Source organism: Homo sapiens, chromosome 2 (assembly GCF_000001405.40).
Source record: "Homo sapiens chromosome 2, GRCh38.p14 Primary Assembly".
Classification (NCBI taxonomy): domain Eukaryota; kingdom Metazoa; phylum Chordata; class Mammalia; order Primates; family Hominidae; genus Homo; species Homo sapiens.
Window position 1 is genome coordinate 118,840,694 of NC_000002.12, and position 13,940 is coordinate 118,854,633.

Below are 13,940 nucleotides of genomic sequence, written 5' to 3' on the forward strand. Positions count from 1 at the left end.
GCCAAACCCTTATGTAGGGATTTGGAGGGGACCTAGGCTTCCTGGGATTGAGATCTAGCCCTGTTAGTTCCCCGGCCAGGAGCAAACAGTACATTGGGCCAAATCAGGGAAAATTTTTCAATAAAAAAGGTGGAATAACTAGCCATTATCATTTTGCACAAAATCAATCCTACAAAAACAGTTGAGAAACTCAAGGGAAGAGCACAGAGAACAGGGATCTCACACATGAACAAACCCAGCAAACACACCTGCAGACATTCCAGTGTGCAAACACAAATTCATGCATGTACACACAGTGAACTCACAAACGTCCAATTGTGTATCTAATTAGAGAAGAAAATCAGTTGCACAATACTCACGGGTACAGGAATACACAAAAAACTGGTAGGAACTTAGGTGCACCAATATCTGCACATTATTGTATATGCACACAAGTATGTGTGGGCACCTGCCCGTCTAGCTGCACACGTGTGGGTATATACATACATATTGCCGAAGAGAGAAAAAATGTGGGAGTGGAATTTACAATTTAAAAAAATCCTGGACAAAGATAATACCTCCTGAGAAGGAAACTTCCCTTCCTCCCCTTAACCTCTTAAGATCTGAGAGCAGCTCCTGCTCTGGAAGGATGGGCCCCAGTGTTAGCAGCAAGAGGCCAGACATTTCCTTCTGGGAACCCAGGGTGTCCTGAGGGCCCTGGGGGCTTCTATGTGCGCCCCCCTTGGTGAGGAAGAAAGTTAGGCTTTGTTGGGATGCCTAAGGGAACCCTCTTTGGTTTAGGGCCCAGATACGGCAGACGTGCGCCCACCTCGGGTTCAAGGCCCAAGCAGCCACTCCGAACAGCTTTCCCAGCATTTGGGCCTCCTCTCCTCCGGCATTGCGGGCCCAGGAGATCCGAGCCCCGCGAGGCTCCGCAGGCCGCCCCCGGACCTGCTGCTTCGCCAACAGAAGCCCTCCCGCAAACGAAGTGCAGTGAGTCCAGGCGGCCAAGAGGCCAGGCCAAAGTGCCCCTCGCCCAAGCGGGCTGTCGGGGAGGGAGGAAGGCAGGCCCCCTTCTATCTCTGGATAAAAAAAATCTGCAGCAAAACCTGCACCAGGGGAAATAAAAGAAAGAAAGAAAAAGAAAAGTGCAGGTTGGAGTGAAAAGCAGTTTGTACAGGAGGAGGCCGCCACTGGGCTGGGCCTGGACCGGTGCGGGGAGCTGCCCCGCAGCCCAGGCAGCGTTTCCGAAGCCAGGACTGTGGTTGTCGGCCTTTGAGTTCCCTTGAACGCAATCGGAGACCAGGCGTGTCCCGCCAGACCCTTCAGACCCAGGCTAAACCCAAATCTGGGTCGCGCTTCCCCTTCGCCCTGCATTCGTTGTGCGGTGATCGCAAGGCCCGGCCGGCTCCCCGCCCGGCGTGCGCAGGGGCGCTGGGGCGCTGTGTGCCCGGACCCACGTCCTTCCCGAGCCCGCAAACAGGAGAGCCGCCAGCGCTCGTGAGCACAGTGTACACTTTATTTCAGACTACAGGTTTCTGAACATAATAAAATCTTTGGCTTGTAGCGGCGGTTCAGTCTCGCAGTCTGTGGGGTCGTATTTCTCAACAAGTCTCCGGAAAACGAAAGGGGGGCAGAACAGACAGACCGACAGAAGGGACCCGGGAGGTGGGGGAGAAGAGGTGGGCAGACACGAAAGGAAACACACTCTCGCACACAAAGAAAAGTCCCAGAGAAACCAGGGCCGGCGATGCGGGTCGGGAGGCACCGGAGAAGCAATGACATTCAAATGAAAAAGGCAACGAAAACGAAACTGGGCGGGGGCAGCGAGGCGGTGGGGGAGGGGATAAAATAATTATAATAATTATAATAATTATAACAATAATAATAAAGGAGATTAATAAAAATGTCCAGCAAATAGAGATCGCTACACGTATGTGTTTTCCTTACCTGAAATTAAATATATACAAGGTCGTAAGCGGTTTGGCTAGATAGAGCTTTAAGGAGTTCGCAGTTTCGTCCCTTATACTGGGAATAGAGAATGGATCTTATTTTTCGATAGCACCTGTCCGAGTCTTTCTCCCTTTTCAAAAATGCTGCGTTTCAACGTCATTGTCCATTCTGAGGCTCTCTTTCTGTCTCTCTCGCTCTTTTCCCTGCGCTCCCTCCCTCCTTGGAGCAGATGCTTTCTCCCCCAGCGAGGGGCCGGGAGACGACGGCGGCGGTGCCGGGAGGGGGCGCGGGCGCGGCCCCGGCCTGTGGCGGCTACTCGCTCTCGTCTTTGTCCTGGACCGTGGTGGTGGAGTGGTTGTACAGTCCCTGGGCCATGAGGTGCAGCGCCAGGCCGTTCTTGATGCCTGTGGCTTTCTTGATCTTGGCGCGCTTGTTCTGGAACCAGATCTTGATCTGGGACTCGTTGAGGCTGAGTTCCTGGGCCAGGGTCTGCCGCCGCTGCTCCGTGATGTAGCGGTTTGCCTGGAACTCCGCCTTGAGTCTCTGCAGCTGCTCGGCCGTGAACGCGGTCCGCGGCCGCTTGTCCTCCTTCTCGTTCTTCTTCTTCTTCAGCTTCCTGGTGCGCGGACCTGCAGCGGCGGAGAGGGCCGGGGTGGGGTGGGGGTGGGGACCGAGGGCAGAAGGGAGGGGGGAGAGGGCAAAGGAAGCCGTGAGAATAGCATTGCCGAGCTGGGCCGCGAGCCCCGCGCTTCCGGGGCGATCTCGGAGGCCCTGCTGAACCCCTGGCTCCCTCCCGCCAGCCAATCCCTGGATCGAAGTGCCCCTCACCAGACCACTGGGGTCCCCGGGTTCCCTTTGGGAGGGCAAAGGAGCAGTGAAGGAAAGCTGGTTGAGGTTGTAGGTGCACCCCACACCCCAATTCTCACAGGACAGTCAGGGACAGACCGAAATCACAACATTTCCAAGCCAAGAAGGCAGGAATCCAAGATGAGGAGATATTTGGAGCTCATATGGCCCAGCCCAGAGTTGGGGGTCAGGGGCCTGCTGTCCTCACCGCCCCGGAATAGATAGGACTGGGGCAGTGAGGGCAGGCCCTGGGGGAGTCGCCAGCCTGCAAACAAATCTTCCTCTCCTCCTCAAGAATCATACCTACAGGAGAAACTACAATAAGACCCCATCTGCTTGTAGCTATTGACCTCAGAAAACAACGGGATAGTGAGCCGGCTGGGAGAGGGCTGCTTAGCTCCAAAGTATTTGGTGTCTGCCCCCCTCCCCGCACCCCTCCCTCCCACACACACCTCCTCGCCTTCTTTCTCTTTGGCCTAAAGGAAGCCTTTTCTAGGGTCTCAGGGATGCAGGGACCACCCCTTCTCTGAAGGAGAAAAGGCCCTGATCCATCCTCATGACCCTGGCTCTGGGTTTTCAGCCTTGCCCCTTGGATGGTGCCAATAAGAAAGGGAGGGCCTTCCACATTCCTCTAACCGGCTGCGTGGGGCAGGGTCTCTCTTATCTGGGTCTTCCTTATCTCCCCTTTCAACTGATGCAATTTCAGGATTAAAAACTCCTGAATAACAAAAACAAGCCGGATTGGCTTTCTCTGCCTACTGATGACATTTGCAAGGAGACTGCAGCCCCTTCCCCCACCTATGAGCAAAAAGGAGAGGGAGGGAAGCAGGGACAATCCAGAAAAAAAAAAATGTGCTTTGACCACCAGATAGGAATGGGAAGGGGCCACAGGAAACCTCCTTAGGAAGGTGAAGTTCCCCTCAAATACTAGTCTGGGAGGAGGGCCCACTGAGAAAGGAGGGAGGGAAAGCGGGAAAACCAGGAGAGGATTGAACTGTTGGTGTGTGCCTCAAAAGCCTGCACCTCTGCCCACCTGCTTCCACACCCAAGTCTTCTGGCATTTACTTGCTGGGTCCTGCCTTGGATATGGTAGCTTGCTGAACCAAGTTAAGTCCCTGTCAGGCCTGTTCATCTCTAAAACTGTCTGGAAAGAAGGATCTTTGCCGGCATCTCCAAACCTAGCTACAGAGAGGAAGGCTGGGCAGCCTACTCCTGGGGCAGGCAGGAGGCTGGGGTAACCAGCTGTCCTATGACAAAGAGTCCAGGCCTAGCATACTGCAGCGACTCAGATCTGGGTCGAGGCTCATCCCCTCCTCCCCCAACTGCCCAAGCAGGAGAAGGAGCTGGTCCCCTACCTACCCAGGCCCATAAGAAGGAAAGTGGCCAAGAACAAAGCCAAGGCCCTCTCCAGAGCAGAACTGGGGTTTTGATTCGTAATTAGCTGAGCGGGGAGAAATAGCCCAAGAAATGCACACAGCCCCAAAAAGGCCCCACTGCCCGTTCTGCATCCGGGACATGTTGAAGTGTTGTTGTATGTGTGTGCAGAGGCACGGACTCTTGTAATAAAATCGTTCCTAGTCTCCCGGCCAGCCCGAGCCGTGCAGCCTGACAGCTCAATCACTCTATCCATCAGGCGAGTCAATCAAAGCAGCTTTTCGGAGGTTCAGGGAGCCCGACGTGTCAATAACGGGGCTCGAGATGGCGGGAGCTGATAGTGCGCATCGATCCGCGCCCGGCCGGCAGCTGTGGGGCGGCGAGAGACCAGCCAGAGGAAAGCGGCGCGTGGCTACGTTGTTCCCGGCCCCCTGCCGGACCGGGTGTCTGGAGTGCTGATCTTGGGCCAAAGCTTCTGCCGCTCTCCCAGACACTGCGGGCCGGGGCGTCAGGCAGGCCTTGGCCTTCTCTCCCGGAGCCCAGCTCAGGTCTCCTCCTCGGGTTCGCCAAGCGCGAGGGGCACACGGAAAAGTGGTGGAAGGAAAGCCGAGAAAAACAGGCCTACGGATGCCAGAAGTCTGCTGGATGTGCGGGTGAAAAAAGGAAAGCGCCGCGCGGGGAGGATGCGGGAACCGTTCCGCGGAGAAGCTACGGAGGAAACTGGCTCTCATGCCCTTGGACACGCTTCCTGGCCTGAGCCTGACCTGTTTTCTCTCCTCTCCCACTGTTTTTCAGCTCCAGAAAACCAGGGGCTGCCAGCACCCACCTTTTTGGCAACTGCCTTTCCCTGGTTTCTACCCACCCGGGTCAGACTCTTTTCGCTACCCAGCCGGGGGAGAGGGACGGCTTTCAGACGCTTTCCTCCCTGTCTTCCTGTGTTTCCCATGTTTATCAATGTAAACGGTCTCTCCGCAGAAAATATCGAGATGGTGTTTGTGTCTGTAAGGACACACAGTGAATATAATTTTTCTGAACAAGGCCTTCTCTGGTCAAATCTGGCCTTCGGACGATCAGGCTGGTGGGATTTCAGACACACATCACTAGGCCCACCTTCCTGCCTTATCTAAACACCCTGGAAAGAAAATCACTGACTATGTACTTTTCCTAAGAATAATAAAGATAAGAGACAAAGAAGGCCCCAGGGATTCAGAGTTCAAAATCAAAGAATCGAGACCCGAGCCTCCTGTGCCACGAGCTGTAGCTTCTCGGGTGGTGGCCGCAGAGGCCAGGATCGCATAGCTGGATGAACATTCGGTTGTGACTGGAACTGGGGTGAGGAAGCAGGCGTGAGAGACTGGAGTACCCGAGGCCGGGTTTGCTCTCCCTAGCGCCGCAGCTTGGCGTTCTGGGGCGGTCCGCGGGGCCAGAAGGCATGGCGCAGCCCGGAGTTGGGTACTCACCGGAGGATGGACGATCCGAATAACGTGTGCAGTACACCCAGGCGGGCCATACGAGAGGCTGCTGCGAGTCAGTTTTGACCACGGGCCCGCCGTTGGCTGAGCCCATAAGTAGGATAGCCGGGTTGCCGTGCTCCGGGTATTTGGTGCCCTGCGCTCCGGGGCTCCCCGCGCCGCCTCCACTGCCGCCGCCACCGGTGTCCGAGGGCTTGGCTGCTGCGGCCGCCGCCGCCGCCGCCACTGCCGCCGCGGCCGCCGCCGCCGCCGCAGCCGGGTTCCCAGCTTTAGACGCGCCCGCGCCGGCGGCGGCTGGCTGGGAGCCGTCGGGTGGGCCACAGTTCGCGTCCGGGGCGCACAGGAGCGAGGCAGCGCCTGGCGCCCGGGTGCCCAACGGGTGGACAGGGTCTCTACCTGCGGCAGTCTGGCCTCTGTCACGCTCGACCCGGCCTCCTCCTCCTGCGCCTCCTCTGGCCGCCGCAGCCACCAGAAGCTGCGGTGGCGGCTGCTCCTTTTTGCAGCCGAAGTCCGGCCTCAGGATGTTGTCGATGAAAAAGTTGGTGGTGCGGTGCAGCTGGGCCGCTGGCTGCGGCTGGTGAGCAGGCGCCGCGAGATGCTGAGGCGGCGGGGGCGGGGGGTGTGGGGGGAGGTGCGGGTGGTGGGCCAGGGGCGGCAGGCAAGGCGCCGCGGGCGGCGAGGGGGGCGCAGGCTGCGGGGACACCGGCACGCTGTCTCCATCGCTGCCGCTGCCGCTGCTGCCGCTGGCGCCCGGACTGAGGCTCAGGCTGAGGCCGCCCGGAGTCGCCGCCGCCGCCGCGCCGAGGGCCGAGTCGCGCTGACTTTTAGGTTCCGGCTGCTGTTCTTCCATGCTCGGCCGCCCCGCCGCCCCGGCCGCCGCGCCGGCCCCCGCCCCCACCGCCTCGCTCCCCACCCCACTTTGCCAGCGGCCCGTGGGGGTGCGCGGAGGAAGGAGGCAGGCGAAGCCTCAGCGAAGGCACGGGGCGGGTGCAGGAAAAAAGCTCAGGCGTCTGGCCTGGATCGCTCGTTCTTATCTAGCAGATAGATCTCGCTGTCTCTCCCTCTCTAATTTGTAGACATCCAGATATGGAGACACTTGGCTATTTCTTTTTTCTTTCTGCAACCAGATTCAATGATTTGATTTAAATGGGGAGTAAGCCACGGCCAAAAAAATGAAGGAAAAAAAGAAAAAGAAAAGGAAAAAGAAAGCAAGAAAAAAAGCTCCAATAATTTTTTTCTTAAAGGGAAAAAAATAGTATTTAAAGTCTAGCCATCTTCCTAGGCAGTAGTGAGGGGTTTGACTTCCCCGAGTGTCACGCTCAGCTGTGCCCAGAGCGTGAGGCTGGCAGCGCCTTTAATCGCCTTTGCTTTTTTTGCAGGGAGAGCGCGTCTCCGCCAGCGCCGGGCTGTTTTTTTTTTTTTTTTTTTTTTTTTTTTTTTCAAATCTCTGACAGCTCGGATCTTTGCACAAACTCTCTCGCTTAAAAAAAAAATCACCCAGGCACACTTTTTGCCTTCAAACCGGAAGCACGTGAGTCAGGGCCGCACGTGTGCGGAGCCAATGGCGAGCCGGGACTCGCGCTGACACTCGGGCCTCGGCCCAATGGGCGCGCGCGGGACTTTGCGGATAAATAATCCGGGGGCGTCAACCGCTGGCGGAGAGGGGGCGCCTCGGCGCTGGCCCTGTGCGTCGGGTCCGCCCTCCCCCACCCGCGCCCGCACCCGCGTCCCTCCCCCTCCTTCAGGCCGGGACTCAGGAGGGGGCAGAAGAAACCCGGGAGGGGTGAATTTTGGGATGTAGGCAAATGGAGAAGCAACTCCATAAACAACTTGTTAGAGAAATGCAGGATTATGGGTCTGTGAGCTACGGGAGCAGGGGCAGTAGGCAGGAGCCTGGCTGTTTTGCACCCCCACGCCTAAGAAACTCAGCTTTTTATTTTCTCCTCTGTCTCTGGTTGCTGTTATTGAAGGATGGGTGGTTGTTGTCACTGCCGGTTTGTGTGTTTGTGGGTGGGTGTGGGTTTGGGTGTGTGTAGTGGAGGGAGGGGGAGTGAGACAGGGAGGTCGGTGATGTGAAATAGACCTAGAGTTGGTTACTTTCAGAGGCGCAATTTGTTTTTCACAAATAGCAAAATCTGAAAGGCCCGCTGCGCCTAGCTAGCGTCGCACGTTTACGTTTGTACGTCTCCTGCCGGCCCGCTGCATTGCTTTCCCTTTGTGGGGAATCCGCACCCATGCCCTTCCCGGTCCAGACTTTCGACAACACCCTGGAGCTGCCCTGGCGCCATAGAGCCAAGCCCAGAGGGCTAGGAATAGCCCCAGAGCCAGTTGCCTGGACCTTCCCTGGCAGTGGGAGTCCGGGCAACGCAGATTAATCTCAGGAGGGCCCCGGGGCCGGCGAGTCAGAACGCGGATGCGCGCTAGGCCCTAGCTTTTAGAGTTCAGGGTAACCTCTGTGTTAGATTTCCCTGCAAAGTAAAATCAAATAAATGAAAGCGCTGCACCCCAAGTATTTGCCCTGGCTAGCTGAAGTTGTGAACAGGGAGTTTCCCTCAATTGCCGGGTGACTGAATTTCCTGGGATTGCTCCCAACTCCCTGGGTGCCTCCGGCTCCAGCTCTGTGCGTTCTTCCCTAGTTTGAGGGAAATGCCGTTCCTCCAGCTGCTATCATTCTCCCGTCTGCCGATCTCTTTTTCGCTATTTCCTGGTCGAGGCACCCCCAAAATTTTCTCATAACCGGGAATGTGAGGGACGGGGGTGGCGTGTGGACTGAAGCTCTAGGCACCTGCGGGACTTGTCTCCGGATTCGTTTTGGAGGACCAGTATCCGACTATGCTGAAGCCTGCGGTGGCCGAGAAAGGCGTCAGCAAACGAGGCCTTCGGGGGTGTCATCTTAGAGCTCCAGCGGACCTCCTCGCCCTGAACGCCCTCCGCAACTGGGACAGTAGAGAAAGGATCCCTTTGGAAATATTGTCTATTTGTGACATGCGAAAGAATCCCCCTACCTCCAGTTTTCCAGAAAAGTCACAGAGGGTTAGGCTAGGAGGAACATGCAACTAAACCCACAACAAGCCGAACCACCACCACAGTAGCTGAAGTTTCTCAAAAGGGCTGGTGGAGAGCAGGAATTTATATTGCTCACCGCATCTTGGGAGCAGGCGAGGGTCCCCCGATTTCCGGGGCTGAGTTCCCGGCTAGACTTGCGCTGCAGCCTAGGGGAGAAAACCTCTCTCCCTAACGCTGCGCTGCAGTCTTCTCTACCTTCCCAAGCCGCCTCCAACCCCACCTTGGAGTCTCCCGAGTCCTCTTCAGTAGCACACCCAAGGGCTCCCCGAAATCTCCAGGCGCCCCCACCCCTTCTCCCCGAAATGGGGGTGGGATTTTATTTATATTTAAGTTCGCAAAATTGAAATCTTTATCCCGCAAGCAAGCGTGGGTACTTAATTAAATTCTAATTAGGACACTATCAATATCCTATTTAGCTGCGTAGCTTTTGTGCGCCGCGGTCCCTTTCAGCGCGGTAAATAGGGTCTCGACGCCTTATCTCGCCTGCAGGAGACGCCTCGAGAAGGGCTGCGGAAGATAATTTATAGGTTTTAATTACTCTTCATTCCGCCTGATCAGCTTGGCGTTCATCACAGGCCTGTGAATAAAACCCTGGTCAAAAGCTCTGTCACATCGCGCTGGCAAGACGCTTAATCAAAGTGAGCGGCCCCGCGCGCCGCGCGGCCCGGCTCCTCCACGTAATTTCCAGCCAGCTGATAAAGCCAGCTGAATAATACGGCGGCCCTTTGGAGACACCATTTACAGAAATGACTTTATTGACGGCTTAACGTCGGTAATTCATTTTACCTTTCATGTAGTGGAGCCCGGATTTGTTACAGTAATGGGATGATAAATGCACCCGCGGCCCACGAGCTCGAGCTGGATTAGGCGGCACTCTGCGCGCTGGCTCGTCCCCCCACCTCCCCGAGGCCCGGCCTGGGCCGGACGCTCGGTACCCCGCGCCGCTCTGCGCTCCATGACCTCCACCCAGACCCTACGCCCTCTTCTCCCTCCTGCAAATGAACATGCCATTGGGAACTCTGTGTGAGCGCATTGGCGTCTTGTCAAGCATGCGAGTGAAGTGTGTGAGGGCTGAGTGAACAAATGTTGGCCGAGAGGGATGGGTGAGGGTTTCACAGGACTCTGAGTGAGCCCAGGATTGGGCGTGTGAGTGAGGAACTACGGGCAGGGTGAGTTGTGTGTACAAGTATGTGAGTAAAGGGTTAGGGTGTGTGTAAAGGATTGTATATGCACGAGTGGGTATATTTGTGTGGCGGTCCTTTTGGGGGTACTCGTTTCTGCCTTTGGGAGCTAAGGAATTACTTTCAACTTGATAGATGCCCAGGCCGGGGTGGCAGAGAGGTGGGCCTGCAGGTAGCAGGTGGGGAAGCCTGACTCAAATGGAATAGAGCCCCTTTCTCCAAATGCCATCTGCTCTTGGGCCGAAGGTAGGGAAGTGTGGGGGTACCCAGTGCGTATTTCTATGGCCTTGTAGTTCTGAGCTATGCAGTCACCTGAGCTAGAGGCGCACAGAAGGCCATGGACTGGGCTGCGTCTCTGCAATAAGTTGATTGTCCCCAAGTACCCTTTTCTTGGGGATAGCCCAGATAAAAGTGGAGAACGACAAGAAAGATAAAGATTCTATTTTGTCTCAAATGCCAAAGTTGGGGGAGGGGTGCTACATTTTTTCACTTGAAGGAAGGAGGTCCCAACGAGGCCTTCAGTGATCGGGAGTTGGGTAAATAGGACAGAGAGAGACCCCAACCGTCCTTCCCTTCTCCAGTCCTTGGACTTCCTGCATTTTCTGAGGATAGGCAGGGGCTCCCAGTGAGCAAAAGGCACCTGGCCAAACAGAGGAGAATGATGCATACTTGTTTGAGGAGCTGCTAGCTAGGGGAGTTTGGGGATCATATAGTCGGAAGACTGGCATGTGTTTATCAGAGTGAAGGCTGAGAAATTTTACCTTTCTTTCTCTCCTTTTCTAATTTTGGGAAAAACGCTCAGCGGTCTTGAAGAGTGGCCCGTGGCTGTGGGGAACAGAGTGTATATTTGTGTTTATTTGCTTGGTATGTGAGAGCCACCCAGAGAGAAAATTAGTCTATAAAAGTATTGTGTGTGTGTGTGTGTGTGTGTGTGTGTGTGTGTGTAGTTGTGTGTGGCAGGAGGCCCCTGTATGTATGTGAATGTTAATGTGTACACCCAAGTCAGCCCCACTAGTCAGGCATGAAGAAATGTATTTGCTGAGGGTTTTGGTGTATGCTGTTCAGAAAAGAAGACCAGCCTGTGTGTCCATAGAATTTTGGATTTTGTGTAAGCAAAGACAAATGCCAGGGTCCTGCTTGTTTCCACCTCTCTTTCGAGGATGAGGACCAGAAGGAGAATTACGAAAGAAATTCTTGCAGCCTGGCGAGGGGTGTGCGCCATGGGCTGGGAGTAGGAGCATGTTGCATGCACAGGGTGGTAATCGCATTTCGAGTGTAGATCAGATGGCGGTGGGGCCTCGTGGTGCGGGACATGAATGAGTTGTCGCAACACAATAGCGTGCAGCCTTCCTACGGGGACTGGATGACCAGCGGTTTTGTTGGGAGTGAATGCGAGGAGATTTCTGCTACAAGTGCCGCGTTATTATGAGCTACAAGGTCAGACTATACATCGCAGGTCCCCAAAGCCTATGGACCTTGGGAAATGTGGGGCCTCGAGTCACGTCATTGTACCTGACAGTCTTTTTCAATAGACTAATTCAATTAGTGCTCGCGGTTTCGGTCTTCATCTGGAGCCCATAATAATGTGGGGGTGGGTGGGTGCTGGGGATTCGTTTGGGTATTGGTTAGGGATCCTAAGCAATTCTGTCCAAAGTGGAGTGGGACTAGGGGAGGCAGCAAAGGAAAAAAACCGGTGGCCGGGGGGTGCATGGGGGGCAAACCATTGAAAATAAAACGCTCTGCTGACAAAATAAAATGCTCCGTTGACTCCTGAAATTGGGGCAGTAGCTTTGTTTGTAGAGGACTCAGAGCATTCCTTGAAGGGGGTGAGGGACAGGGAGGATTTCTTTTTTTCTGTATATATGAAATAAGACTAAAAATGTCTAGGTATCTAGAAAGCCCGAGAAAAAGCCCACTGTTGGAGGTTGTCACCTTCGTGGATTTCAGTATTTGGATTTATGTCCCCATCATCCGGTCTTCCCCCAGAGTTTTCTCCCTCTTATCTAAGGCAGTTCACAGCATGGACCGTTTTGTTCTAGAAATAGTGCCTCTCTCTCTCCTCTCTCTCTCTCAAGCTCAGACAAACTGAGACCTTTCTCCTCTTGACTCCCCGCGGGAAACGGTGGAAAGATATCAATGATTTCTGTACATTGCACCCGGTGGCCAGGATTCAGAAAGCGCTCCTGGGGCCCTGGTTTCCTCTCTGAGCCCCGCCGGCTGTCCACAGGCCCGCGCCGGGCGCAGAGGGCGCCAGGGTGCAAACACCCGAACTGTCGCCGCTCGCGGGTTTGCAGGCGGCCTTCGGGCTGCGCGGGGATGTCCGGGAGCCCGACGCAGGGCCCCTTGGCTCGGATTACGGGAAGAGGAGCCTTCACTGGCCCCCCTCGGAATTTCAAACCTCGCTGGGACTGTATCACACAGCCAGACAGGCCTCTGGAGCTGAGAATTTTAGACTTCGCTGCTCCGGGAAGCAAGAGGACTACATACAATTCCCTATTTATTTTTCTTCACTTTAATCTGACATCCCGCTTTTTATGCTTACACTGAATCCTACCCAAACCCCAGAACCCAGACCCGAATTTGGGTTTAACCCCTTTCTCTTTCGCCGAAAAAAAGAAAAAATCCGGAGTTAATTCAATGTCTACGCCTGAATTTTCTTCTATTTTTTTATTTTGCTTTTCTCCCTGTATGGCTCCCTCCCACTCCCCAAAAAATTCCCCGAGGTCGGTGTTCTCAGGCCTAGGGGACCCTCTCCCACCCCTGGTCCCCACCTGTCCGAGTGGCCGCTCTCGCCTGGATCCGGCTTGGCGCGTTCGGTGTCCACACAGACTGGCCTTGGGCTTGTGAGAGTGTGGGAGCGATTGAGGAGGGGCCAGCGCGGCTTCTGGGTTCTGCTACCCCCACCCCTCCGCTCAGTCCGTGGTCTCCAGGAGGTCTGAACCCGACTTCAAAGCTGGGAACGGAAAACGCCAGAAAAGAAGAAAAAACACAACATCCAAGTCCTTTGTGCAGGAACGCCCCCGTGACTCCAAAACCGTTCTTTTTGCTTGTCCCAGAATTAACTGTCTTCCTTCTCTTCCCTTTGACTCCTGTAGGGGTGCGGGTGGTTGTCCCGGGGCTCTTTTCCCACTGACCCTGGAAAAGGAGACAAAAGTTCGCGCACCTGGCTCTCGGCGCCTAGGTTTTCTGCCTCTGCCGGCCCCGGAGCCCGATCCAGGCCGCGCCTCCCTGTTGCCCAAGGGGCGTGCATCTTTGGGACCCTCTTCCCGGGGAGGTGCAAGAAAAGCTCCGGGTTCCAGCAGAGGTCGGCGCTGCAGGGCCCAGGCGGGAAGATGTGGAAGGAAAAAGTTTAGTACAGAAGGTGGGGCGGTAAGGGAACGGAAAGTCTCAAGAGCCTGGGAGCGGGGGAGAGGGGCGAGAACCCGTCTGTCTCCCCCACCCCGCCCACCTCCTTCCTCGTATTGAATCGGATGCGGGGGGCGGGAGGGGGTCACTGCAATGCCAAGGCCTTCTCGGGCCATCTTCCCTGTTCCCCTGCTCCAGCAGAAAGCTGGGAGGGGAACGAGTGTGTAGCCCCGCGCGTGCGTGTTTGTTCGTGACTCAGAGGCTCTGGGTGGGTGCGTGAGTGAGTCCAAGTGTGTGCCCGAGTGTGCACGCAAAAATTGCGTTCGTTTTGTCTCTCTAATTCTCGTGTGGTTGCGCTTTGCTGTGTCGGTGTGAAAGTGTGTGTGCGTGTCCACGTGAATAGTCTCCATGTGTGCGTGTCAGTGAGTGAATTTGTGTGAGAGCTGGGGAGTGACCGAGGTTTTGGAAGTGAAATATGTGAAGTTGGAACGACCCTAGGCTCTGACCCCAAACCTCACCTTTTACCCTATCTCTCCCTCCAAACCACCCCCTCCACCCCCGCCATTGAACTATGCCAGGGAAGAGGAGACAGTTGTTTAAACCCGGATTAAAATAGCAACTGGTTTTTTGTTTCCCACCAAGACCCACCTCAGCAGCTCTGAGCCCTGATTGAGGGGAGGGTGGGCCACACGTGCCAAGGTCAAGATCAAAGGGACCTTAGGGA

At 55.6% G+C, this 13,940-nt stretch overlaps 1 protein-coding gene across 1 annotated transcript, besides 7 other annotated features; it reads right to left on the reverse strand.

The window, feature by feature from the left end:
* Positions 1,478-6,955, reverse strand: EN1 (engrailed homeobox 1). Its single transcript, NM_001426.4, has 2 exons — positions 5,613-6,955; positions 1,478-2,561 (listed from the first exon to the last, which is right to left on the reverse strand). The coding sequence occupies exons 1-2, from the start codon at positions 6,472-6,474 to the stop codon at positions 2,245-2,247; spliced, it is 1,179 nt and encodes a 392-aa protein (NP_001417.3). The 5' UTR covers positions 6,475-6,955; the 3' UTR covers positions 1,478-2,244.
* Positions 1,550-2,130: an enhancer, noted in NCBI's record as "H3K27ac-H3K4me1 hESC enhancer chr2:119599819-119600399 (GRCh37/hg19 assembly coordinates)". NCBI's record gives its function as "activates a minimal SCP1, AML or CMV promoter by ChIP-STARR-seq in naive H9 embryonic stem cells {active_cell/tissue: H9 hESC(naive)}" and the evidence as "EXISTENCE:reporter gene assay evidence [ECO:0000049][PMID:30033119]".
* Positions 3,974-4,623: an enhancer, noted in NCBI's record as "H3K27ac-H3K4me1 hESC enhancer chr2:119602243-119602892 (GRCh37/hg19 assembly coordinates)". NCBI's record gives its function as "activates a minimal SCP1, AML or CMV promoter by ChIP-STARR-seq in naive H9 embryonic stem cells {active_cell/tissue: H9 hESC(naive)}" and the evidence as "EXISTENCE:reporter gene assay evidence [ECO:0000049][PMID:30033119]".
* Positions 3,974-5,273: a biological region, named in NCBI's record as "H3K27ac-H3K4me1 hESC enhancers GRCh37_chr2:119602243-119602892 and GRCh37_chr2:119602893-119603542".
* Positions 4,540-4,834: a silencer, noted in NCBI's record as "tiled region #9730; K562 Repressive non-DNase unmatched - State 4:PromP". NCBI's record gives its function as "represses a minimal TATA promoter and a strong SV40 promoter by Sharpr-MPRA in K562 cells {active_cell/tissue: K562}" and the evidence as "EXISTENCE:reporter gene assay evidence [ECO:0000049][PMID:27701403]".
* Positions 4,624-5,273: an enhancer, noted in NCBI's record as "H3K27ac-H3K4me1 hESC enhancer chr2:119602893-119603542 (GRCh37/hg19 assembly coordinates)". NCBI's record gives its function as "activates a minimal SCP1, AML or CMV promoter by ChIP-STARR-seq in naive H9 embryonic stem cells {active_cell/tissue: H9 hESC(naive)}" and the evidence as "EXISTENCE:reporter gene assay evidence [ECO:0000049][PMID:30033119]".
* Positions 9,542-10,094: an enhancer, noted in NCBI's record as "H3K27ac-H3K4me1 hESC enhancer chr2:119607811-119608363 (GRCh37/hg19 assembly coordinates)". NCBI's record gives its function as "activates a minimal SCP1, AML or CMV promoter by ChIP-STARR-seq in naive H9 embryonic stem cells {active_cell/tissue: H9 hESC(naive)}" and the evidence as "EXISTENCE:reporter gene assay evidence [ECO:0000049][PMID:30033119]".
* Positions 12,702-13,237: an enhancer, noted in NCBI's record as "H3K4me1 hESC enhancer chr2:119610971-119611506 (GRCh37/hg19 assembly coordinates)". NCBI's record gives its function as "activates a minimal SCP1, AML or CMV promoter by ChIP-STARR-seq in primed H9 embryonic stem cells {active_cell/tissue: H9 hESC(primed)}" and the evidence as "EXISTENCE:reporter gene assay evidence [ECO:0000049][PMID:30033119]".

What these genes read in the sequence shown, in the direction of transcription:
- EN1 (NM_001426.4), bottom strand. Translation starts at nt 6,474, where the DNA reads ATGGAAGAACAGCAGCCGGAACCTAAAAGTCAGCGCGACTCGGCCCTC. An exon ending in TTCGGATCGTCCATCCTCCG is followed by an intron (nt 2,562 to 5,612) that starts GTGAGTACCCAA and finishes CCGCCGCTGCAG; the next exon opens with GTCCGCGCACCAGGAAGCTG.